This window comes from Homo sapiens, chromosome 12, assembly GCF_000001405.40.
Source record: "Homo sapiens chromosome 12, GRCh38.p14 Primary Assembly".
Classification (NCBI taxonomy): domain Eukaryota; kingdom Metazoa; phylum Chordata; class Mammalia; order Primates; family Hominidae; genus Homo; species Homo sapiens.
Window position 1 is genome coordinate 26,169,733 of NC_000012.12, and position 26,927 is coordinate 26,196,659.

The following is a 26,927-nucleotide window of genomic DNA, read 5'->3' on the forward strand; positions in this document are numbered from 1 at the left end:
AAGACAAGGAGTTTGAGGATGTCAAATATCAAAGTTCTCACCCCTCTTTCCTATGCAAGTTTGAAAATTCAGCAGGTAAGGTTTTAGAAATATTTAGGTAGTTATGTGGAAGCAGAAGGATATTGGACTCATGCCTTCCTTTTCTGAGGGTTGCAGAGCAGGCTGTGGACCCTAGAAAATGCTCTAGCCTTTGAGCAACTGGTTCCTCCTCCCACGGATTTGACCTTAAAGACACAAATTCCCTATTGAGGGGTTCCAGAGGTGGAGAGAGAACTTGTAGAGAGGTGACTTCTGAGCACCAAGGATTCAAGCAAAAATCATCTGAAGAGACAGTGCAAAGGAATGGACAGGACTAACCTCCTCTGTAGATTAAACAAAATATAACCCAGTGGACTCCCTGCATTCCCCCAATTCTCAACAATTACGGGGACTCATGAGGAAATCTGAAAAGCTATAGTGAAATTAAAAACCTGCATTTATTTGTACACCTAAGTGTATACAATGTGAGTGAATATTCTTTGTACTATACAAAGTTAAAATTAGGAATTAAATGAGGATTGACTACAATAAATTATTCTGTTTCTCAGTGTAACTCTAGATCTAGAATAAAGCGGAACTAAGAAACTTGTCTTCAGATCTATGGCATTAATTCCGATGGCTCTAAGTAAGAACTGTCCTAAGCCCTTAATAGAACATCTTCCTCCAATGATATTAAAGTAGACTTCATAATATAGTGCTATTTTAAGAGTCTTCATGTATTTTCTGAGATCCAAACAATTGGATTGATTGCCACTATTGAAATCGTTTCAAGTAACAAAGCATTATAAAGAAAATCTATACAAACATCCTTGAATTATATGCTTCACCTCTTGTTCTTTAATCATCTATTGTCATTACTCTAATTTTTCCCTGTGGTATATGATTTGCTAATTCTAAGTAAGCTAGAGGAAATTTGCATTAATTCAGAATCTGATATTTTGTGTTTTGGAATTCATTGAATAAATACTTACTGAGCAAGTTCTTCTTCCCAGTTAGGTATTTCTCTCCCCATCCATAACCCTGCTTAGCAGTTGAATGGGGGAGATTGAGAGGAACAGCTTTGCCCATTCAATAATGCAAGTAATAATAAATGTAAGTGCTCATCATTTGTCAAGCATGGTATGTAATTATAATTACTTTGTATAAATTATCACATTTCACCATCATAGTAACTCTACAAATAGGGATTGTTTTAATCCTCATTTTATGAATGAGAAAACTGAGACTTAGAGAGATTAAGTAAATTGGTCAAAAATCATATAGTTAGTAAGTGATAGTGATGAGATTCAAACCCTTCCCTTTAACAGGGTTCTTTGCCTCCCTCTGCTATTTTGGGATGATGCTGTGGGCTCTCCTTCATGTCCTCTAGAATACAGAGGTCACTTTTAGCCTGAGTTTAGGTCTAGAAAGTAAGGTCAAATCAGAAGCAGAGGTGGGTTACTCAGTAAATGAGTATGTATATAAATAAATGTGTGTGTGTATACATTTTTGAATTTGCCATTGTAATAGCTATAACACTGCTGACATTTTCCTAATAGTTTTGGTTCATTAATTTCTAGTTACTTCAAACTTCATCAGGCAGCTGTCCTGTTGAACAACCGTTCTCAAACAATAGTTTGGTGACCCCTGGAGGTCCCTGAGACCCTTCTAGGGGGTTTACAAAGGCAAAACTGTATTCTTAATAATACTAAAAATTGTTTGCCCTTTTTAATGTGTACAGTGGAATTTTTCCAGAGACTGCTTGATATGTTCTACTAAACACAATGAATACTGAAGGAGTTATGAGAATCTAGCTATCTTCTAATCATTCTAGAGATTTACAAATATTTAGAATAATGCCCCTGTTTTCCCTATTTTTTTTTTTGTCAAAGAACTATAGTTATTTTTCATCAAAGTATTTATGTGGGTTTATAATTTTGTTTTTAAATGAATTAATAAATATTTTAAAAGATCTCAGTTTTAACTTTTAATACAATAAGTATCAATAGATATAATTCACATAAACAAAATATCTTTGAGCTCCTTAGTAATTCTTAAGAACATAAAGAGTTCCTAAAACCTAACTTTTTGGGACTGTTGGAATAGAGGAAGGAATCCTGGAATTGGCATCAGAAGCCAAGGCTTCACCTCTACCATTTGTCGCCTCTGTGATGTAGGGGAAGCCATCTAAACATGCCAACCTTAATTTTCTCACTGATAGCAGTGAGAGGATAGTAGCACATACCTGCCTCCTAGGTGTAGACCATATGCAATAATGTGTGCAAAGTCACCCCATTCATGAGAGTCTCTTATAATTTCATTTTATTTTTGTTATTATTTTTTGAAATGGGGGTCTCACTATTGTTGCTCAGGCTGGTATTGAACTCCTGGCTTCAAACCATCCTCCTGCCTCAGCCTCTCGAATGGATATAATATTTGATGGGTAATAGATTCTGCTTATTCAGCGTAAAGTATACATTCACCTTAGAATTTTTTAAATGTGTATGAAAATAATTCAAGCATATGGTAAAAATGTTGAATATTCCAGAAGGACTTTTTGTGGAAAAGTCTCCTAGCCTTTACCCCGTCACTCCCGCTCCCTGGAGGTAAATATCCACCCTTGCTCACTGCTGTTTTCAGTTCCTTAGGTAGTTACCATCACAACTCTGCATAATAGGCTCATTTCTCTGTTTCTCGATGAGCATTTTTAGACTGTGTCTAACAAGTCTCTGATGCGAAAGATGAGGATATAACTCATTTGTATTATATTATCTCCTATTAGATGCTAATCTATGATTTTTAATAGAAATAAAGTAATTTTCAATAAACGGCATTTGCATTGCTGTGACTTTGTAAATAATGTAGCCTGCATGTTCTTCTCTATTGGCTCTACGCCAAGATTAATCTTTGTGCCACTTGGAGACGGTTTCCCACATAAAATACAAATGTGTTTTCAGAATATCCTCAAAAACACTTGTTTTTAATCATTCTGTTACATGGAATCCACTTTCTCTCTCTTTTTTTTTTTTTGAAACGGAGTCTTGCTCTGTCGCCAGGCTGGAGTGCAGTGGCGCGATTAGAATCCACTTTCTTTACAGATCTCTCTCTCTCTCTGTCTGTCTTTCCCCATGAATCATCTATCTATTGTTCCAATCTCCTATGTTGATTAGCTTCCAATTTTTATTTTATAGATACAATATCTTTATCAACAGCCCTGAGGAGAGTAAAGACAATTTTTTAACTAGCTCTCTTCTGTTTGCTGAATTCTCCCCATTCCCTTTGAGGGCTCTTTGTTTTGATCCTTCTGTTTTGTGCTGTTGATTTGATTTATACATTTCGTGACCCTTCACTGCCTATTTGTACTTAGACACAGGGACAGGATATAATGGCTGACGGGCTTCTGGGTGATTTCCAACTTCCAGAACTGGGAAACTTTACTCTGGGGTGTGAACTGCCATTCTAGGAGTGTCTGTGTGTTTCCTTTCTTTAGAAAAGAGCGTGGGGACAAATGTCAGGGTGGCCTGTAAGGGTGTCGTTCTGCATTTAAGAGTGGAAGTAGTGGTGGTGGGTGCAACTGTTCTCTAAATAGATCTCTAATGAAGTCCCCAGGTTTCAGGTCCACCTTTGAACTTTGCCCTCTGTAACTACAGATTCAGCCACTCCTGGGAACCCTGGTGCATCCCTACTCTGGAGCCTTTCTTTTTGGGGATATCCAGGGCCTCTTCTGCTATCATGCTCTTTTTCTTTTTCCATTGTCCAGATATTTGCTGATCTCTTTCATATGCTGATATCTTCTTTGCTTTCTCCTTACTCTTATAGGTTTCTTCTTTTTTCTCTTCCTGTTTTACTACTTTATGACCATTTCTATAGGGTTTCAGGAAGGAAGGTAGGCAAATACATATGTTCAATCATCGTCTTTTATAAGAAGCCTGTGGTATTTCTCTTAGAAAGCTATTTTAATCATTGATTGACAAGCCATTGTATCTTCAAATTTTATATTTCAAGGAATTTGGAAAGTAAATCTCTATGCATTAAAATATATTGCCCTTACCATTTTTCTTATTTCGTTTATTACGTCAACTGTGGCTTACGTGGATGATTAAACTTAAATAGTGTCTTCAAGGATGAATGAAGCAATGAAGATTTATTTAAACAATACCATAAAACTACTAGACAAGGAAAAATTCATTTGCAGCCATCTCCAAAACTCAAAGAAATATGTGATACATGAGATTTCTATATTAAGTTTATAAATTTTTTAAGTGAACCATCCTATGACATGGAAGGCAAGCTTGCCTGGCTAAAAGCATCCCAGGGAGGAAATGGCCAGGGTTTCGTCAGTCACCAAGAAGATAAATACACCCTGCTTAAACCCAGTAAAGGTGAAAAATAAATCAGGAAACTTCTTTGCGGTAGCCATGAGAAATGTTAGGCATTATTTGAAGGTCAAACTCACACTTTCAAGGCATCATCACTAACTTATACAAGCCTGATCTCTAAAGACTATCTTGGTTAAATATTGATCATGCTTCAAGCTCCACTTAAACTGCAAATACTGACCACATCTACCTATTTTTCTCATTATCAGCTTTATTGAAGTATGATTGTCATGTAATACACTGCACATATTTAAAGTGTAAAGTTTGGTAAGTTTTCCCATCACCTTCTAAAATTTTCTTGTGTCCCTTAGTAATCCCTACCTCCTTCCCCATCCTGCTACCCACGCTTCCTTCCTTCCTTCCTTCCTTCCTTCCCTTCCTTCCTTCCTTCCTTCCTTCCTTTCTTTTTTTGACAGAATCTCACTCTATTGCCCATGCTGGAGTGCAGTGACAAAATCCCAGCTCGCTGCAACCTCCGCCTCCCAGGTTCAACTGATTCTCCTGCCTCAGCCTCCCAAGTAGCTAGGACTACAGGTGCATGCCACCACACCCGGCTCATTTTTGTATTTTTAGTAGAGACGGGGTTTCACCATGTTGGCCAGGCTGGTTTCGAACTCCTGATCTCAGGTGGTCCACCCACCTCGACCTCCCAAAGTGCTGGGATTACAGGCGTGAGCCACCGTGCCCGGCCTCCCCCTACCATTTCTAGAAACCATTGATCTACTTTCTGCCTCTATAGATTAGTTTGCGTTTTCTAGGATTTTATACAAATGGAATCACTAGATGTATTTTTTTGTTTGTTTTTGGTCTGGCTTTTTTCCCTCAGAATGATTATTTTGCAATCCAGCCATGGGTTTGTTTCCATGTTAGGGATATTACAAATAAAGTTGCTATGAACATTTGCCTACAAATCTTCATTTGTGGGTGTAGGCTTTTACTTATCCTGGGCGAGGTCATATGATAGACGTCTTTAACTTTTTAAGAAATTACCAAACTCTTTTCCGAAGTGGGTGTAGCATTTTGTATGCCTACTAGCAGCGTGTGACAACTGCAGTTTCTCTACATCCTCACCAACACTTGAAATGCCCAGTCTTTTCAATTTTAGCTATTCCCATACCTATGAAGTGACACCTCGTTGTGATTTAATTTGCATTTTCCTAATGACCAATGATACTGAACATTTTCTCAGGTGCTTATTTGCCATGTATCTTCTCTTGTGAAGTGTCTGTCCAAATCTTTTCCATTTTTTATTGGATTATTTGTGTTTTGATTACTGAGTTGGAGAGTTCTTTATATATTCTGGATACAAGTTCTTTATCAATATGTGATTTGTAAATATTTTCTCCCAGTCTATAGATCACCATTTCATTCTCTTGCCAGGTAGCTAATTTTATTTTTTTGTGATTTTTATGGGAATTTTTATGTTTTAAACAATGATAATAGTCATATTTATAATTAGCATATTCAGGAATCTATTTGTTTTAAAGAGCTATACAGAAAAGCTGAGGTGATGCCAAAATTTTAGCTCAATAAACCAACATTTGAAAAAAGCAGTTCACTTCAACTGTGAGATATGAATCTATAATGGGAAATACAATTCTATGGAATTCACAGAGCTTACTTGTTAAAAATAAAAAAAATTACAAAAACTGTAATTCTAATGGGCTTAAAAAGCAAATTCAATTCCGAGTATAAAAAATTTATTTTGAGTTTTTTTTTTTTTTTGAGACAAAGTTTTGCTCTGTCACCCAGGCTGGAGTGCAGTAGCATGATCTTGGCTCACTGCAACCTCTGCCTCCAAGGTGCAAGCAATTCTCCTGCCTCAGCCTCCCATGTAGCCGATATTACAGACATATGCCACCACGTCTGGCTAATTTTTGTAATTTTAGTAGAGACGGGGTTTCACCATGTTGACCAGGCTGGTCTCAAACCCTTGACCTCGAGCAATCTGCCCACCTTGGCCTCCTAAAGTGCTGGGATTACAGGCGTGAGCCTCAGTGCCTGGCCTATTCTGAGTTTCTTAAATTGCAAAAAATATTTCAAATGTAGTATTTCTTTTAGCTCTCTCGGTTTCTGTCTGTCTCTCTTCACGTAGATATTTTAGCCTGAATTATTCTAATGAAATAATTTATTCAGCCACGCTATCTTTCAACCTTTTATAGATAGAAGACTCATAATCATCAGATTGCCATAGAATATTTGATTATGTGAGTCACATTCAGTAGTAATGAAAGGGGAGACTATGAGAGATGGCCCTAAACCTTTTACAAGGCCCTCTAAATCCTTAAAGCGGTATCAAAAGTCTGCTAAATTTACTTCTGGAATTAAGACAAACTCTAAATAAAGATGTTCAAACACTGTGTGTTAAAGCCAGCAAGCACCCTAGACTTGCTTATGCCTTTTCTGCAGTCAATGGGAGGCTGTGCGTCACTGTACAGCTCCACTCACTAACTTCTTTATCAAAAATCTTCTCCCTTATTTCTTCTCTTCTCAAGTGCTTGCACCAATTAAAAATATTCTTCCAAAAATAGTTGAGATTTACATGTTCTAGATATTCTTTGGAAGTAGCGACTTTGTCCTCTAACATGGGAACATCGTCTCCCCCAGTTGCTGAAGTCAGATAGATACTTGGGCACAGTTTTCTTTCTTCTCTCATTCCCAATTCTACCCCCATTTCAAGCCATCATCGTGCCTCTGCTGGTTGAGTACAGCAACCTCCCTCTTGATGTACCTGCCTCCGTTCTCTTCCTCCATCAGTCCATTATTCACACTGTTGCCAAGTGATATTTTCAAAATATAAATCCAAACACATTACTTTCCTGATCAAATATTTGCCATAGCTTTTTATTACCTTAAGAATAAAGTCCAAATTTTTTAGTGGGACTTTGCAAGGTTTTCCTTGTTGGACTTTATTCTTAAGGTAATAACAATACGAGAAGAGAGGGAGATAGAAAGAAAAAAAGTTCAGAATACAAAATGAGCAAAGCTGAATGATTGAATGGATATAGGGTTGTGGTGAGGATCCAATGAGATGATTTAATTAAAAGGGATTTGTGAGACATAAAACACTATTTTAAGGCTACTATTATATTATTATTCCCACCTGTCTCTCAGTGAATCTCTGAGGATTACTGAATACCAGAATTTCACTTTTAAGTGTTGTGTTATTCCAGCCTAGGCTCCTGAAACCCTCGGACATGGTGCTGGTTGCTACATGGCTCTAGACACTCAGATAAATCTTGGACCCCTGGACACCTTCGTCTGCATCCCCAGTGCTTAGAGGTGTAACCTTGAACAGTCATGCTGCCCAGTGTTCAGTAAGTCAGGGTCATTCTGGGAGAGGAACTGTGAAGGTGGCGGAAGTTCCCCAGGCATCACACATGACTCAGACCCATTCTGCCCCACCCGTAGCTTCCCCTCCCATCAAGGAGCTCCTTATTTTTGCCTCCTCTTGTTGTACTTACTGTGGAGGGCCGTGGAAGCCTTTGAGGACCAGAAGTCTTGAGGCGATAGGTTCTACTCGTGAATCCTTTGAATGCAAGGAACAGAAATCCTAGAAACTGGGAACTAGAAAAATCAGCAGCTGGAGCTAGTCTGGAGATCCTAAGTGTCATATGATCTGTCTGACATCTGCATCTGACAGAGTGCTCTGATCTTCTGTGCCGGCTGGCTCTTTACACACTCATCATGCACAGGACCCTGCATGGCACCCTCCAGTTCTATATCTCTCACGTGTATCATGACTGCTCATCTCTAACGTCCACTAACGACAGCCCTAGTTGTTCATTTCCAATTCCATATATTCTCATATGAATGGTCCAAATTGTCATTTGACTAAGGCCCCCAAGTCTAAGCTCACTGACTGGCCTATGGGTCAGGTCACCTGGGTTAGGTATTCACCAGCTACCCAATTACTTGAGGCCGCAAAATACAAGGTCATGTGTTTTGATGCTCACTTAGTAGGCACTAGAGTGAGAATTCTTCAAGAAAGCAATGTGACTAGGGCAACCATAATTCACATCCCTAATAACTGAGAAGCAACAGAGTGTAGCACTGAAAAGCGTAGACTCTGAAGCCAGACCACGTTGTTCAGACTTGGCTTCACCAGGTAACCTTGGGTAAATTATTTAACTTCTCCGTGTGCTTTGGTTTCCTCATCTGTTGAATGGAGATTATAATAGTACCCATCTCATAGTGTTATTATAAGGACTAAATGTATGTGTGTGTGTGTGTGTATGTGTGTAAGCCCTTCATGTTTAGTAAAAAATATATATAAGTGCTAGTAATCATTATAGGGATGGAAATCTGAAGCACAGAATAAGGTAAATTAAGAAGGGTTGTAGATGACTGGTTGTATAATAGCTGCCTGGATAGAGGGTGAAATTCAGCTAAAGTAGAGAGGGGTGGGGAACAAAAGCAAATATGTGAACACAGTAAGAATGAATTCAGAATTCATCAGTTGAAATTTGGGGGGCAGAGATATGGGAGGGGTTAGGGACATAGGAGAGCAAAAAGGAACAGAGTGGGTCTGGCTTAGGTGCAGACACGTGCCTCAGCAGCACAGACACAAGAAGCTTGGATATGCCCTTGTGGTCACAGCATCTTCTAAATGGGTCTTCAGCAACTCTGGCCCCTGGTCTGTTCCCCCAGCAAGAGCAGCTGGTCTAGGATAAAAACCTGAAAGCTTCCTGAGGAGTTTAAAGATATATTCTCTTGAGATATGATGTTACTGTAGATATCTAGACTAGATTAATTCATTAAATCATTCACTTATAGAGTAGTCATTTGGCACTCACCATGGGCCAGTCTATGCTGGGGGGTACAGCAATAAACAGAGCTCAGCACCCCACAGCTTACAGTGTAGGAGGGAACATAATATCCCATGAAGGATGGACAATGACGGGAAGACTTGCAAAGGAGAAGCAAAGTTGAAGCCCTGGGAAAGGGCTGAAGGAGCAGAGCTGACCTAGGCTATGGGTCAATCAAGGTAGGCTTCCTGGAGGAAACTACAAAGGCTGAGTGGAGGAACACTGGGACGGGAAGAGGGGAGAAGAGCATCTCAGGCACAGAGAACTGTGTGTTCAAAGGCCTGACAGCAAGAAGGAGAGCAGTGCTTGAGGAATGAAAGGATCCTAGTGTGGCTGGACAGGAGAAGGTGAGGGCGGAGGGGCCAGCAGGGCCATGCTGAGAGGCTGGTGCTTTTATACTTTGGGCAATGAGACTGAGCTTGTCACCCGCAGACTGGATGACTGGATCTCACTCAAACTGATGGATTTGACCTCTCCTGTTTTGCTGGGGACAGGAGCCAGGCACTCTGAAGGGGGAGTAGGGGTCACGGTACCATCAGGGCAGAGGAGAATTCAAGAGCAAGGTGGGTCTGTATCAAGAGCAACTTCTTGAACTTCACAATTTTGCTTAGGGGCCTTGTATTCCTTAAACCACCACCAGGAAACCAAAGCTCTGCATGGATGTGTTTTCAGTTTTTCACAACTGCACCCCATACAGCCTCAGAAATCTCTATTTTACTGTCCCACCTTAGTTCCAAGTGCCTCCTAATAGGCCCTACAGAATGATGCCAGTGGACTACCTGAAAGTCATTAAAATGAAGCAAACACAATTTCATGTTTCTCTTAGTTTCAGGCTACCTCTTGAAGAGGCAACAGACACAACTGAGTAGTTTCTCTACAACCCTCACATATGTATACGGTGTTGCAGTATCTCTGATGATGCACATCACTTGGTAATTGAAACGCTCAAATGATAAATGATTGGCTTTTTATTTAGCTAGGCTTTTTTTTTTTTTTTTTTTTTTTTGCAGGGCCATAGTGAAATATTTACTTAGCCTGCTGTCTTTTTGTGTGAACAGGATACGGTTTGCCCTGGCTTGAGGATGTGCTCTGTGTTGTTTGCTCATGGCACTGTAGAGGACTGTTCCTCCAAGCACTTCCTTCTCTTCCACAACCCATCTTGAAACCAGAGAACCAGCAGGACTAAGGATGGAATTGAAAAAAGTTGATGAATTTATGTTTCATCTTCCATCTCTACTTCTTCTCCTGGAGGTGTGAACGAATAATGAAACTGCTAAGGAGAAAGGCAGCATGAAAGAAGGAGGCTGCACAATTGGACCTTGCAAATTCAAGATCTAGATCATTAGCTGCAAATCTGAGTTGGAGGTGCTGAATACTCATTCACACGGTCGTGCTCATAGCAGCAGCGAGATTTTTTTTCTTGTCACGATGAACAGAGTGTCCTGACACCTTGAGACATTAGGTGCTTGCAGAACATAGTGTGAGGTGACAAGGGAAGGGACTTGCCCTTCACCTCCACACCACTCCAAAAAGCCCTACCATCGTGCAAAATTACATACACAATCTCATGCCACAAAATATAAACCAACCACTACATTTAAGAAATTCGATTTCTCCCCCTTAACTGTCCCCTGTGCTTTCTGAGCACATAGCATATTTTTCCCTAATCTTAAAATTTAGCTTTAAAGTTCACTGTTAAGGAACTAAGCAGTTTTTTAGTCAAGAGATATATGCTGGTTTAAGATACACAAAAACTTGAACAGTACTTGAGATCTTTTGAGAGGAATGAGCAAGAAATCAGATATTTGCCTTTTCATCTTCTGTAGACTCATACAGCATCTTCTACATAGCTAGGGACTCAAGAATGTTGAATCTCCAAGCTAAAGCATCTATCAAATGTTATTTACATAAATAGAGCATATGGAGGGAAGCAAAAAAGTGGAGGGGTATTCAGAGAGGTGATAGCTCTGGAAAGGAAGAATAAAAAATTTCCAAGGAGGCAACAATTCCTACTGTCTGCCAGTCTGTCCAGGAGATTCACTAGACTGGCCACTCCAGTTCTCCCCAGTTCGGTTGTGCTCCAGGGAAGACAGTGTTAGAGGACAAGAAGCAGGCTGGAAAGAAAGTAGAATAATGCCCTTAGACTGCATGGAATCTCAAACAAGTTTTACTTTTGTGCTATGTATATAAGGAGATCTATTTTCTTTCTCACTGAGGTCGTATCAGTAGATAAACTGCGATCTCTGTGGAAATCTTTTTCCTTATTTTTAAAGTTTACTACTCATTTTTTTTTGTTCAAAGAAGCTGTTCTGAATAAAGTTACTCAATACAGTTGGAAAAACTGTCATTTGATCCACTTCTGTCTTTATCAGAATTCTGCGTTTTCTTCTCCTTGAACAGCAAAAATACTACTGTAAAACAAAATTATTATTTAGGAACAAAATCAGTTAACTTTCTGATTGTTGAAGGGAGATTGGTCAACAATGTTAGCTGTTTTCCACTGTCTTATTTTTAAGAACATGTAATATTATAGTTGTTTTCTCAGTGGTGGCTTAAAAAGGGAGCACGGTAAGAACTCATTCTAAAACCACAATTTCTCTTGGTGCTATAGATCAGTTTACAAAAGGCAGTTCTGTAGGCAATGTTATCTAAAAACATATGACTGTGAAAACAGACACCAATTATGAATCAAAGTTTAGGCACTTTTGTCTTTTTCTTTCTTTTCTTTTTTTGGCTTTGTAGAATAATCTTAGCTGAGCTTGTCTAGTGAGATAAATCGACTGACAGAAACCAGTAAACTAAATGCAGCACGTTGATGCCTGTCATTAGAACACCTGTGAGTGGAGGATAGCACTGTGCAACTTAAAAACAGGAGGTCAAAGATTGCTTTTTAAGAAATGGAAACGTATATGTAGAAATAAATGTTGTCCTTTTCAAAGTATTGATAGTTGCTTTGGAAGACCTTCCACTCATACAGTCTTGCTATTTCTCCATGTATTTTTGTTAGTTATTTTTTTTAGCATTGCTTTTAAACTCTGTGTGACACGTTATTTTGAATAGTCTATATGGGAGCCAATAGTATTCTTGAAGGATGGCTTTAGGCTTTGGAACAATTGACAGTTGTTTAGAGGTGAGTAAATCACGTGTCAGGATCAGAAGAGTTTAGAACTGGGAATGGGCTCTCCTGGATTTGAGTCCAGCACTGTCCTCTACTCGTAGTAAGACCACGGGTTAGTCAAACAACTGATGTGAGCCTCACTGGAGTCGTTACTCACTCATTCAGTCAGTCACTCAGTCATTCCATAGAGGTGTACTGAGCATTCACTATGGGGAGTGGATAACAGAAGATGAGGGATGGAGTGATTACCTCTGACTCCAAATTTCTGTCCTAGGTTGGTGATTAATCTTTTTTAAAAATAAAAATAACAGACTAAGTTTACACTAGCATTAAGTAATAAGAATGATATTATTTTGGATGGTTTTTAAATCATCATTGATGACATTTTCCAAAGAAAATGTTTTGAGCGACTATAGTTTTAGTAAGTAAAAATTCAACTTTTTTAATTGACAAAGGTGAAGGACCAGGCTCATTTCAGGTGCATTAGTTTGGTATCTGGACCCCGTCTCCCTTCCCCTTCCCCTTCCCCTTCCCTTCCCTTCCCTTCCCTTCCCTTCCCTTCCCTTCCCTTCCCTTCCCTTCCCTTCCCTTCCCTCCCCTCCAGTGGCTTGCAATCCTAGTCATGCAGCAAAATAATCTATGGCATCTTTGAAAAGTACTGAAAAATATGTAGAGGCTTTTAAATATGTGGAGTCTTTTAAAAGTACATACTTTTTTTTTTTTTTTTGAGATGGATCCTCTCAGTCACCCAGGCTGAAGTGAAGTAGGGCAATCTGTGCTCACTACAACCTCCGCCTCCCAGGTTCAAGTGATTCTCCAGCCTCAGCCTCCCGAGTAGCTGGGATTACAGGCACACGCCACCACGGCCGGCTAATTTTCGTATTTTTTTTAGTAGAGACAGAATTTTACCTTGTTGGCCAGGCTAGTCTCAAACTCTTGACCCCAAGTGATCCGCCTGCCTCAGCCTCCCAAAGTGCTTGGATTACAGGCGTGAGCCACTGTGCCCAGCCTAAAAGTACATACTTTAAAAAGTACATACAGGTGCTATATGCCAACCCTCTTCCTGACTTACAATTTCCTGAAGAAGGTCTAAGTCATAGGTATTTAAAAAGAGAAACATGGGTGATTTGGACACACAATTCAGAATAAGAACCGCATTTATGATAACCCCTTGTACTTTTAGAAATTTCTACCTTTATATTAGTATATCATACCTACCTTTTCTCATAAAACTTTCTTGTAGAAATGGGGTTTTGCTATTTTTCCCAGGCTGGTCTTGAACTCCTAGATTCAAACAATTGGCCCTCCTCAGCCTCTCAAAGTGTTAGGATTACTGGCATGAGCCACTGCGCCCGGTCCCAAACTTCCCTTTAAAAAATTTTATCTTAGCACATGTTATCAAAACTAAATTCAATGAATATATGGAAATCTGATCCAGAGAGAATTTCTCCATCTACTGAGTTGTAACATCTCTTTAATTGAGCATTTATTATGTAATTAATTCTGTGTTTGTTGTTTGGGTGACTGACTATAAAAGAAAATTAGAATTCAATCTCTAGCCAAAATGACCAATTTTAGAAATTAGGGAAGATGTTGATAGTATTATGAAAGGGGCATTCAGAATACTGAGATCTTCTGCAAGCCACAGCCACCCTTCCTCATGAATCCCTGAGGATATAAACAGGGAATGCCGCAAGTTGCTGGCTGGGCTTTGTAGCTGGACACCACTGCCAGTCGGAGGGTGATTCTGAACTGGATCACAAAGCCTGGGCTAGACACTCATAGTGAGCCTCTTCACAGTTCCTGGTCATCACCCCAAATTGTACTGCACTTTCGATGGCAACATGAAAGGAAGAAACCAGAAAAAAAGGAAATTGTCAGTGAATAAGAGCTCCAGAGAGCCATAAGCCTTCTAAGGGAGCAGCCCCTGACTCAGCCAGCTGCCTTTGGTTCTGCGTGGACACCTGAGGAGAAAAGGAGCAAGCAAGCTCACCCAGCTTCCAACCAATGAGCTAGAGGGTATGCTGGAATCCAATAAGCCCACAGTCACTTGTGAGGGGTGGCAGTCAAGGTGTGGGGTGGAAAATGGAACATTCCTACTCTAAAGCCTGCAGATGACAATCTGAATGGGCAAAGAGTAAGGAATTCCTTTTTGGGATTTGCAAAGCACTGTGTATATTTATACATTGAAGTTATTTACAACAACATATTTTAAGTGTCTGTTTTCTGCAATCCCTCCTACTCATTTTCCTTAGTGCTAACACAGTTCCTAGCATGCAGTAACCATAATGCCTTATAAATGAATGAAAACTATCATATAAAACAATTACAGAATCCAAAACTATATAAATAATAACTGATGTGACACATGCCACTTTATAGAAGTTCAAGAAAGACACAGTTCAATGGCCTCAATAGTTAGGAAAATCTTCACAGAGAAAGTGGGCTTGGGATAGACCCTTAGGCAGAGTAAACTTTTTATTTACATACATCTGACCTGGACTGTGGACTCCCTTTTTGGATGTTGGAGGAAAGTGAAAATCAACTGACACTTTGAAAATTAACATAAATTGGAAATCTGTCCAGAGAACTTTAGTGGTCTATATAGTCAATATATAGACCACTTAGTGGCATAATTAATTTCTCTTCTAGATGAGCATCCACAGAGGAAAGACTATTACAGAAAATGGTAAATAAAGTGAAAAAAACTTCTCTCATAGAGAGGAAGGGAGTAAAAACTTAGTTTTCAAAACTAAGGGGTTTTTTTTACATCATAATGTAATATGCTCATGAGAAGACAACAAAAATAGGGAGAAAAGGAAAATATCCATGTCCCATGAGCAACCATTTTTACATCTCAGTGAGTTTTTTTCTAGGTGCTGGAAACCTCAAGCAGCTTGCTTCAATAAACATTTCACATATCCTTCCTTTTCTTCTCTTGTGATACTTCCCCTGCTGTCTCTAAACAGAATGTACACTAAGATTAAATTATTTTAGATTTAAAATATGGATTGCTTAGGTCTTAGAAACAGAACTTAAGCTAATGCTTGAACTGAAAATAATCCATGATACTGAAAAAAATACTCCTCTCCAAAATTTACATGATGTAGTCAATATCTCAGTATGGGCTGCCTGTATAGCATTCTTTCTTTAGTTCATTCAATAAACATTTATTGAGTGCCTAATATTGCCAAGCAACCTGGTAGGCACTGGTGATGAAAAGGCAGGTTCCTGCCCGTGAGGAGCAACTTGCTTATGGACAAAAAAACATGTTAAGTAAAAAATAGTTGTTGAGGAAGATTGCAAATGATTGACAGGCATGGGATTCCTAAACTCTGGCCAGACTTTGCTTCTTTAGTATTGAGGTCTGCTGTCTTCTCAGGGGCCAAAAAAAGGGTTGGGTATTTAGTCGGTCAGCTCTTCCCCCACTCACACAGCACCTTGTACTGGTCTGATTATACCTCTACCCCCCTGGGCAGGGGAGAAAAGAAGTGACACTAGGAAGCATTGTTTCCAGGGACTAGGAATAGGGAAGGGGCTGTAGGCTGGGTGAAAAGTTGAGGTCAGTCTGAGATAATGACCTGACCGAACCAGTAGGCCCACCCTGACACATACCAGAGTTACCTCAGAGATAAATGACCACAAGCCATGAGTGACCACCTGCCGTGCCAAGTCTGTGAGTGATCAGTTCCCGGCACATTTCCTAACACAGACTGTGCCTGAGATTGACATGCTGTAGTAGAGCGACTTTGCCCTGTGTGCCTGTCTGTGCCTTACACACAATTCTGTCCCAGCGTGTGTCATCCTTTATGACACTTCCCTGATTATGTGTCTGTCTCCCTTCAGTTGAATGTGAGCTCCTTGAGGGCAGGAACCTGCCTTTTTATCACCAGTGCCTCCTAGGTTGCTTGGCAATATCAGGCACTCCATAAATGTTTCTTGAATGAACTAAAGAAAGAATGCTTTGTAAGCAGTCTACTACTGAGAAGAAATAAAATGAAAAGGCAAAAGTTAGTCTTTAGAAAATGAATGCTTCCTTTTGCCTTAAGGGACGGCAAGTGTTGAGCTTAGCTTGGGATGTGTCCTGGCAGGTTTTTAGAGGACTTAATCATGAGGGTACACCCCAAACATAACTGCATCAGGAATGTTAAAAAAAAAACAACAACCATTTTAAGTGCTTTGCAGGTGCTTGTGACCTGCATCCCTGGCTAAAAACTGGTGCCTATACGTATCTATTAACATACCACTTAATTTTATGATTTAGGTTAATAAAAGAGCAACAAAATTTCCAGGTATAATTAAATAGTTGAGCATGACACTTAACTGATACAAATACACCTCAGCTAAAAGTGGTACCGATTCTTAAAAGGCACCTGGCATTTCCTCATATGCCAAATTGCAAAAGCATTATAAATAGACACCATATAAAATATCTCTCCTGCCCTAGAATGGCTTCATGTCTTCCCACACAAGTTGACAAAAACATTCTGTTATTCAGTTTTCTTGTCTTTTTGGAAATGAACTCACTGCTCACTTGTCATTTCAACACACTTTCTTTTGCTTCTGCAGGTCTGTTATTGTAGAGATGAGGATGCCCATAGGCTGCGCTGAGTGAGATTCACCTGGGTTACTGCCTAAGTCAGGGAACCTTCACTTTTAAGAGATAGAAATAACTCACTTAAAGAAAAGGAATATTTACTGGCTTGGTTATGTATTAACCATTCAACAAGTATGGATTGAGCCTCTAAGTGTGTGTCAGCTATGGTGATGCAGTGGTAAACAAGACAGTCTCCTGCCTTGGGATGTTCAGGATGACCTTGCTTCAGCTGTAATTGTTTTCTGAGGCTAAATAATGTTATCAAGCCTCTCTCTCTCTTTCTTCCCCCTTCCCCACTCCATCTTTTTGGTTCTTTTAGCCTCTGTTTCTCTTCGTACATTGGCCTTATTCTCTCCTGTCCTAGAAAGACTGTCTTCAAGTAGTGGGAAAGGAAGCCCCCCACTGGTAGCTCCCCTTCCAAAAGGAAGAAAGGTCTGCACCCTTCACCCCAGAATCCTTGTCTCATGCCTAGTGGAAGGGTTCTGATTCATCCTGCTCTGGCTTAGTCCTCCCTGTGCCCAACCCTTAACCCCAGGGCAGAGATGCCAAGCTTGGCCAGGCCACGCCCCAGGGCCCCACTTACGGTCATGAAGTGGGCAGCAGTCCCACAGACCATGTTGGTGTGGGTGAGGGATCTTTCCACAATATAAAGAGAGAGTTTTAGGCCCCCAAAATGATGTCCAATACACCATGTGTGAGATTTTAGGGAGGAAAACGTTAGGGAAATGTGAACATTTTCTTGCCAAGATCTGACTAAATGTAGCTTAATGTTAGATTATTGAAACATTGTTTTTGATACACCAGGAATTCAGTAACTTCTATGAGATAATTTGAAATCAGTTGGGGAAATCCAGTGTGAATTTCCTACTTATTTTGATGTAACCGTCACGAGGTGCACGGCAAAAGATCAGAAATAGAACGGCAGACTTTTTATGATTGGCTGGGGTGAGCAACGTAGCATTTGAGTATAGTCACTTCTCTGCACCAGCAGGTGGGGTCAGAGGTAGAAGGAGGGGAATGGGCTAAAACAATGCACTTATAGAAGAAAAAGCACTGCACTGATTCCTCTAGGGGTCATTCTGGAAAAGTCTCAATTACAGAACTAGGTGTGAGTGCAGAGAGTGGTGGTGAGGAAAAATAAAATGATATTGTGAAGCAAAGCACTAATTCAGCAGTTGAAACTTCAGTGATACCAGGCAGTGAGTGTAAGAGAAGAACAGGGAGGATGATAGTTTTTGTGAAGGGTATAAGAAGAGAAAGAATGAGGACAAGATTGCCGAAGAGAAATTGCACAGAAAGATAATGCATGGGAAGGGAAAACTGAATAGGAAAAGACGACAGGGCTAGGATACTGGCTAACAGTGACTGATTATTGATCCACACCAGGAAATGTTCTCCATGTTTGCATCAACTATTGTACTTATAGTTCATAGCAACCTTCTGAGGTAGGTATTTGTAATATTCACATTTTGCAGAGAGGAAGCCAAGGCTTAGAGAGGTTAAGGAACATGTCCACAGTCACACAGCTGGTAAGAATTAGAGCTGAGATTGGGACTCAGGCAGTCTGGGCTCAGCATCTGTACTCATAACCACATAAAAATGAAAGAATTCATAGAAGTGTAGGGGAAAAAGAACACGACCCACAAGGCTTTGTCATAGGGCCAAAGATGTCTTTAAAGGTGGTGATGACTAGATATGGAACCAAATACAGGGAGGTAAGTCCATGGAAACATGCATATTATACAAATGATCAAAGATGTCAGTCTGGCTTGCAGTCAGACAATGACTCAGCTGTTCTAACTAAAGAAGAGGATTACTGGTCAAAATGAAAATCTTATAGTTTATGTATGACACAGGGTGTTTAATGTTATTACTTAGAAAACCTAATTATAATTCATCCCTGTGTCCTGGTTGAGTTATTCCTAAAGACAACTCTCCAAACAAAATAAAAATGGACAGACAAAATATGCAGTTCAAGGATTTTAAAGAAATGTTGTTTGTATCAGAAATATCTGAATCCAGATCACACCATGACTATTTAGGATTTATAAATATTTATTAAAGCCATATTATAACCTTTGCACTGTGCTAGGCACTGTAGGACCAATGGTGATTAAGGAAGCATTGTTTCTGCACTCATGGGACTTATGGTCAGGACTCTAGACAGCCTTTGTTCTCACTAACCTGGTATGTGGCGGGGATGTCTGTCCACACAGCACTGTATTCTCGTAACCTGTCTGATTGCCTATAAGTGCAATGTACTTATGCAATTTTTTTGAACAATAAAAAAATCTAAGTCATTCAGCTAAGATAAAATGTAAGTGGAAAGGGCACTGACTTTAGAGAAAGAAGATCTAGGTGTTTTTTTGTTTTTGTTTTTGTTTTTTTTAATGTAACCTGAAAAGGTTACTTAGCCACTCTGAAGAAATTCTAACTTCACATGGTTTTGGTCAGATTTAAAGAGATAATATGTAAGAGTACTTCATAGCCTATAAAGATACATAAACCTTTCTGTAAATAAGTTGTCATTTTAATTATAATTTACAGAAAATATGTTTTTGCCTATTTTAAAGGAATTGTTCAGAAAATGTTTTATTAAAACTCACCTGTGCTTTCAAGATATAGCAGTAAAATACGCTGTGGGATAGGATATGGAAGTAGAATGTCTCTATATCCCAAAACTGCATTATTAAGAAGAAAAAATACTGATCCTACATTCATACGTACATATCTAGGAACTCTCAGCTGTCTTTCTCCCACCCTGCAAACTCAACTGCATTCTTTATAGTCTTACATTCTTTCCTCCTACCTCAGCCTATGAAGGACTTTCCTCTAAAACTTTCCCATCTCAAGGAACTTATCTGATCAAATGTCCCCTCCTTCAGGCATCCCTATCACTTTCTGCCTCAGCACACAAGCATACTCAAGTGTCTTCCATTAAATAAAAAAAAAGGCAAACCATTCCTTGACTTTATATTGTCCCTTTAGCTGCAGCTTTTTCTCTTTCCTTCCCTTCACAGCTAAGTGTCTCGATAGATTCCTTTACGTATATTCTCCTCCTTTTTCACCTCCTGTTCATTCTTAAACTCATCAAAATCTTGAAACTGCCAGATTATTCTGGAAAAGGTAACCAATGACCACCTTGTCATTAAAGTCTGTGGATACCTTATATTTACTTCATGTGATTTCTCTGTGGAGTTCAAGGACAGAGTGAATTTGAGGCACTTTTGGAACTTTTATATGGAGATGTGGATAGGTATTTGCATTTGCAGACCTAGAGCTAAGAAGAGAAGTCTGGCCTCCTAAGATAGATAGATTTGGGAGTCTTCAGTGAAGCCATGGAACATGTAGTACAAGAAGAAAAAGGCTGAAGAAAGGAATCATGAGGTTTACCAACGTTTAAGAGATCAGCAAAGGAAGAACAATCCATGAACAAACTTGAGAAGGAGGATATGATGATTTAAAAATACACCTTTAATACCCTTTGATATTTTGGTATGCTTCCTTTCAATAGATGGATCTTACTCTCCCCTTGCATGTGGGCTGGACTTTGTGACTTGATTTTAAACAGCTGAATAACTCAAGTGTTGCTAAGTGACTTCAGGGGCTGTACATGTAAAGAATTGCATTTGCCTTGCTTTCTCAATCTCAGAATCAGTTAGTCTAAAGCCAGCCACCATGTTGTGAGGATACTCAAGCAGCCCTGTGGATAGGCCATCTGGAAAGGAAACAACACGCTTTCAAGATGCATTAGCCGCCTGGGAAGCAGATCTTCCTGCTTCAGCTAAGACTGGAACCTCCTGATCCCAGGCCTCCAGTCTTTAAGTCTTTCAGCTGAGAGTCGAGAGATAACAGGAAGAAACAAACCATCCCTGCTGTGTGCTGTTTGAATATTTGACCCACAGAAACCATGAAATAATAATTACTGTTTCAAATCACTGAATGTTGGGGTGATTTGTTATTGTAGCAATAGATAATTAAAACAGAGGATCTAGAATGGCAGTAGAGGCATTAGGAGAGTTTGGTGAGATGAATTTATAAAAAACCTACTTGTTCTATTATTAATTACTGAGGGACATCCAGTGACTCCCTGTATTTCTCTTTTTATTACACTTTTAAAAATTGAGATGTCATTGTATACAATAACATGCACAGATCATAAGTGTTGTTCAATGACTTTTGACAACTAAGACCCATATGATCACCAAAGATACAGAAGACTTACTTCCATCACCCAGAAAGTCACCTCTTACTCCTTTCGAGACAATTCTCTCATCCCAACTCCTCAATCACTTTTTAAATTACCATAGATTCATTTTGCCTTCTAAAACTTTTATACAAATGGAATTATGCAGTATGTATTATTTTGTGTCTGGTTTCTTTCACTCAGCACACTGTTAATGAGATTTATCCAAGTCATTGCCTGCATCAATAGTTCACCCCTTTTCTTATTAGCAAGTGGTATTCCACTGTATGGATATGCCACAATTTGTTTATCCATTCTTCTCCTGTATTTCTCAATTAAAATAAATTTAGTTATTTCTACAGTATCATATGCAGTGGAAAAATCAAAATTACATGTAGAAAAATTTGGTATTATAAAAAGCACCTTAAAAATAGGTGAAATGCATGATTAAATGATTGAAATTTATCACCTCTATAGCCCTCCAGAGAATGAAAAAGTTAAGCCAGGTATGGTGGCATGTGCCTATAGTCCTAGCTGCTCAGGAAGCTGAGCTGGGAGGTTTGTTTGAGCACAGGTTTGAGTCCAGCCTGTGCAACATAGTGAGACCCCATCTCCAGGGAAGAAAGAGAGAGAGAGAGAATGAGAAAGTCATAAGCCCTTTGTTGACCATAAAGATTGCATTGTCCATATGATATTTAACTTGAAAATACAAACTTGCAAGCAAAAATTATAAATGGGTCAATTCTGCTGAGAAAAAAATTAAGCCCAAAGGCACATTTAGAATTAATGACATAGGAATAAAGAAAATAAAAAAAATAGGAGTTGCTTTAATTTGTTCTACACACACACACACACACACACACACACACACACACACACAAATACACACACAGAGGTCAGCAATATCCCTAGAGTCATTTTAGGTATGGCGGCCAGCAAGGCATATGGGGGCAGTGGTCCTGCATATCACAAATGAATTCCCAATTGTTTTCTGCAGAGTATTTGATACTTCTTTAAATCAAATCTAATTGAACATTTCAGATAGATTTAGTTACATATGAAAAAGACTTGATATAGACCTTGGAAATGTAATAATTTTTTTCTGAAATCCTTTTTTGTTCTTGGGGAATGTAAGATCATGTGTTTGAGAATATGTTGGTTTAAAGATTATTTCTAGTTGGGTTTCCTAAGACATTTTGTTAATCACACTAGTTTTAAAGAGTTATCATCTTCCCCGTTCTGAACTTCTGATGCATAAATACTTCAAAATAATGTTAAGTTTGAGATAGTCTGCAAAGATAGAGATACTGGCTTGATTTTGTTTTCTCCCCCAAGAGGATCAAAATAATCTAAACCATATATTAACTACTGTCCTGCAATTTCTAATTTACAATCTTTGTCAGTTTTGAATTATGGAAGCAGCCAAGAGTATCCAAAAACATTTTGTTTCTACTGCGCCTTTTTTCCCGGTAATATAAATATCTGAAGAGGTTATTGCTTAACCTATAAAATAGTGACATCATAATTTATGAATACTGAAAAACCCAGTTCATTTCTGTTAAACTCTATGATGAGCTAGACGTGATGATTTTTTCTCAGTGGAAAGGACATGTAAAAGGAAGAGTTTTCTTTGTTGTATCCTTAATGACAGTCTTATCTATTTTAGCCTTGATTACTCTCTATCACTATTTGACAGTAACTTTTCTTTGTTTCTACTTTCAAATATCAATTAAGTGAAAATGACATCCTCGTCACTATCATCTTATGTTATTACCAAAGACCAGGCCTCCTCAAACACAGATTCAACCATGCTGTTGGGAAGCTGAGCAGGTGTGAGTTTCCCTAGACCACCAAAGGCTGAAAATTGTAGTCTGCAGTTGTAATCAGACTAGAAGAATTTCAGTGCGTCTGGGATGTTGTTCATTTACATTGCTTTCATTTGTAATGTGTCTCAGTGAGGCAATCAAAAGTAAGCTTTTTTAAAAAGTATATATGTACAACTGTTTTACAACTGTAAGCCACTAGTCTGAAACTCAGAAGACAAATGTATAGCAATATCCTACTATCTTGTTTGACTATTTAAACTTACATATAATTTAAGGTTTTGAGGAAAAGGCTAAAAATGTTTCACTTTTAATTGCATGACAATTTGGCAGTATGGTCAGCAAATAGAACTTGTATCTAGTTATAAACTAGTACTAATAGGAATAATGGTCTCCACTGACTATTAAATATATACTATGGTGATGAATCAAGATATTTTTGTAAAGTACTCATCTCTAGGTCTAAGTTTGTAATTCACTGTATTATAGATACTATGCTACCCATGATAATTAAATTGTTTAAAATCACAATTTAAACAGTCTAGCCACTTGTTTGCCTATAGGCAATATACATACAGGAAGTAATTAATAAAGCAGTTAATCCTTTAGACCATTGGCTTTGGAGTTCACATCTGGTTCCACTTACCCCCATTCATAAGTAGGCTAGTGACTTTAATCCAATTACTTAATAATTCTGATACTCAAATTTTTTCATCTTTAAAAGTGGAAACTATAATTATAAGGTGGTTATAAGGGGTGACAATAAAATATGTAAAGCACCTGTCATGTGTTTGTTACAGAATACTCAGTAATAGGTAGCTATATTGTTAATAACAATACATACTTGATTCCAGGTAGTCAATTGACTTTCTATAAATATTTACCATATTTCCATAGGAAAACCAAGCATTTTGTTGTTTTGTCATTTGGGTTCTTCTCAGTCAGGCCCAAGTCAGGTGGGTGTCCTGGTATAACGCCAGTTTTTATTTGTCTGTTCACAATAGAAAGCCCTTGTGGTGTGATGGCCCCAAAGCTGACCATAAACTTGCCTCAGCCACTCTGTTTTTCTGGTAAGAGTGAGTGCTATTTCTACTGCCTCTGCATGGAACTGGGATGTGTGGTTTAGATTCTGTTTTCTAAGCAAATGTATTTGTTCCCTGAACCATTATTTTTCTCACTGGTCCAGATGGAAGGCATAAGGAGAACACCTAAGTTCATAAAATAAGTAAGGGTGAAGTACATACTTTTTGTCTTCAAAGTTACTTTTGTGGGGACTTGGCAGTTTACAAAAAGAGCTGATGATGATTAGTTTCTAATTCTAAAGCAAACAGCAGGGAATTGGATTTTCTTTAAATTTTCCAATAGCAAACAAGCTAGGAGTAGCCTTTATCCTAACATCTTGGCAACATCACTTATTTTTGAATATAGCTTTCTGAATGTTACAATGACCATACCAAAGGAGATATAAATACCCCCAAAGTGATGGGATCATTTTTTAGTGGTTTCGCTGAAATTTGCTCTAAGTGCTACTGAGTAGAGGTATGCGGGAATAAGAATAATCAGTTTTATTGATTTCTTCTGTGACTCTGGGCCAGGACCAAGTCTATTTTGAACATCTTTATATCCTAGCACATTGTAGGTGCTTTAAAAATAACTCTTAAATATTGACTGAGTAAAAGCGTCTATCTCTAAGATGGTCAATCCAATCCCCCTAAGCACTGTTGTGGAGATGAGTGAAGACTAACTAGGAGTCTTGCTCTGTCGCCCAGGCTGGAGTGCAGTGCCATGATCACGGCTCACTACAACCTCTGCCTCCCAGGTTCAAGCGATTCTCCTGCCTCAGCCTCCCGAGTAGCTGAGACTACAGGTGCGTGCCACCACGCCTGTCTAATTTTTGTAGTTTTAGTGGAGACGGGGTTTCACCATGTTGGCCAGGCTAGTCTTGAACTCCTGACCTTGTGATCCGCCCACCTCGGCCTCCCAAAGTGTTGGGATTACAGGCGTGAGCCAACAGAGCTTTTAAAAACAAATACACGTGAGAGGCCGGGTGCATGGTGGCTCACGCCTGTAATTCCAGCACTTTGGGAAGCTGAAGCAGCAGGATCCCTTGAAGCCAGGAGTTCAAGACCAGTTTGGACAACATAATGAGATCCCATCTCTATGAAAAAAATTTTAAAAAATTAGCCAGATGTGGTGGTGATTGCCTGTAGTCCCAGCCACTTGGAGACTGAGGAGAGAGAAGCTGTTGAGTCCAGGAGTCTGAGGCTGCAGTGAGCTAGGATGGTGACAATGCACTCCAGCCTGGGCAACACAGTGAGCCCCTGTTTGGAAAATAATAATAATAATTAATAACATATGTGAAAGAGAGTTCACAATTAGTCCAATATCTTTAGAAAGATTCAAAAACACCTAAATGCGAAAAATGCCTTTATTCATTTGTCAGCTGGATTACAGAAAGTAGGAAGAAAAGAGCCTGTGCCTCTGTAGGAAAGTAACAACGACTTAACTTCTGGAAATGACTTCGCAGCTTAGAGCCCAGCAGTGCCTATTTTGGATTAAACTGTGTATTAATTAAGCTCAAACGATTTCAACATTCATCACCTTGCATTGCACTTCACAGAAAGCAAAACCAAAACAATCCTGGAGTTTTGAGTGAGGAAAACAGACGCCCCGCACTCGCACACGCGCGCACTCGCAGCCTGTCTGAAGTGCAGAGGTTCAGGCGGCCAAGGGACCCGCGCCGGTTTCCGCGGGCGACCTGCAAATCCTGCCCGGGGCCCGGCAGGCGCTGCGTCCCGGCGCGTTGGCAGTTGGCGACCCCCCTCGAATCCCCCCTCTGCTGCGGGCTCCCCGTGGCCTTTGGAGGCTCGGTGAGTCGGCTCCAAATGTTTTCCATATTTGTTCAGCCTCCATAATTCGAATACCAGGGCAGGCCGAGCCAGCCGTGCGCCGCGCTCCAGGGCCCAGGGCGCCGCACACGCACCCACCCACCCACCCAGCCTCGCAGCGCCATGGGCAAGAACAAGCAGCCACGCGGCCAGCAGAGGCAGGGGGGCCCGCCGGCCGCGGACGCCGCTGGGCCCGACGACATGGAGCCGAAGAAGGGCACGGGGGCCCCCAAGGAGTGCGGGGAGGAGGAGCCCCGGACCTGCTGCGGCTGCCGGTTCCCGCTGCTGCTCGCCCTGCTGCAGCTGGCCCTGGGCATCGCCGTGACCGTGGTGGGCTTCCTCATGGCGAGCATCAGCTCCTCCCTGCTAGTCAGGGACACTCCATTTTGGGCTGGGATCATTGTAAGCATCAAGTCTGTTTTGCCTAAGCGCGTTTGCCAAACAGGAATGCGAAGTCGCATGGTCGAGTTGAGACTAACCCAGCTGCATGTGCCCTTCCCCGGGTTCACTCTTCTAACTCGCGCTCTGCTCGGTGACTGATGCGTGGGGCACTGGGTTTTCCCGGGCGGGGCAGGGCTGGACGCGATAGGGCTCCTGCCCCTCTCCTGCTCGCGGCTCCCAGCGCCTCCACGGGGCCTGACTCTGACGCTCTGGAGCTGGGGAGTTCATTTCAAAAGCTGCTTATTTTGGTCAGACTGAACAGCCTCAATAACAACAGCGGATTCATTCGGGCTTTTTCCTTATCCTGTTACCCAGACCCCACCCCTGTCCTTAAACAAGTGGCAAAAAGTGAATTAAGTTCATCTAGTGAAAGCAGGAGAGGAGAAAGCCTGTACTTGGAGTTGCCACATTGAGTAGCATTCATTTTATGTTTTAAACTGAGGCTCCATTAGTAAGTTTCCTGAAATGATGGGCTAAGGCAGGAAATGCGAATACAGCAAGCACAGCCTTAATCCACTGGAGTCTAAAGTGGGATAAACCCAGGGCGCTGGCCATGGCAGAAGTATATTTGGGACTCCACCGATGGATGTACTGTTCTAAGTTGAACAGTACTCAGCTGTTGTGAGTGTTGAAACATGTAGCATACTTGGCTTGATTAAATGAATTCTT

General features: G+C 40.1%; 1 protein-coding gene across 4 annotated transcripts in view; it reads left to right on the forward strand.

Annotated features, from left to right (window-relative positions):
• The window catches only part of SSPN (sarcospan), a 112,787-nt gene that overhangs the window by 47,742 nt on the left and 38,118 nt on the right, over nt 1-26,927 (forward strand). Inside the window, 1 exon segment of one of the 4 annotated variants that reach the window (NM_001135823.1) lies at nt 25,604-25,799. The exons of 2 other annotated variants lie outside the window; for them this stretch is intronic. Coding sequence is in view for 1 of the 2 variants with exons in the window: in NM_005086.5 (NP_005077.2) it covers nt 25,941-26,219 (279 nt within the window). In the remaining variant the exon portion in view is untranslated. 4 annotated transcript variants of the gene reach the window in all.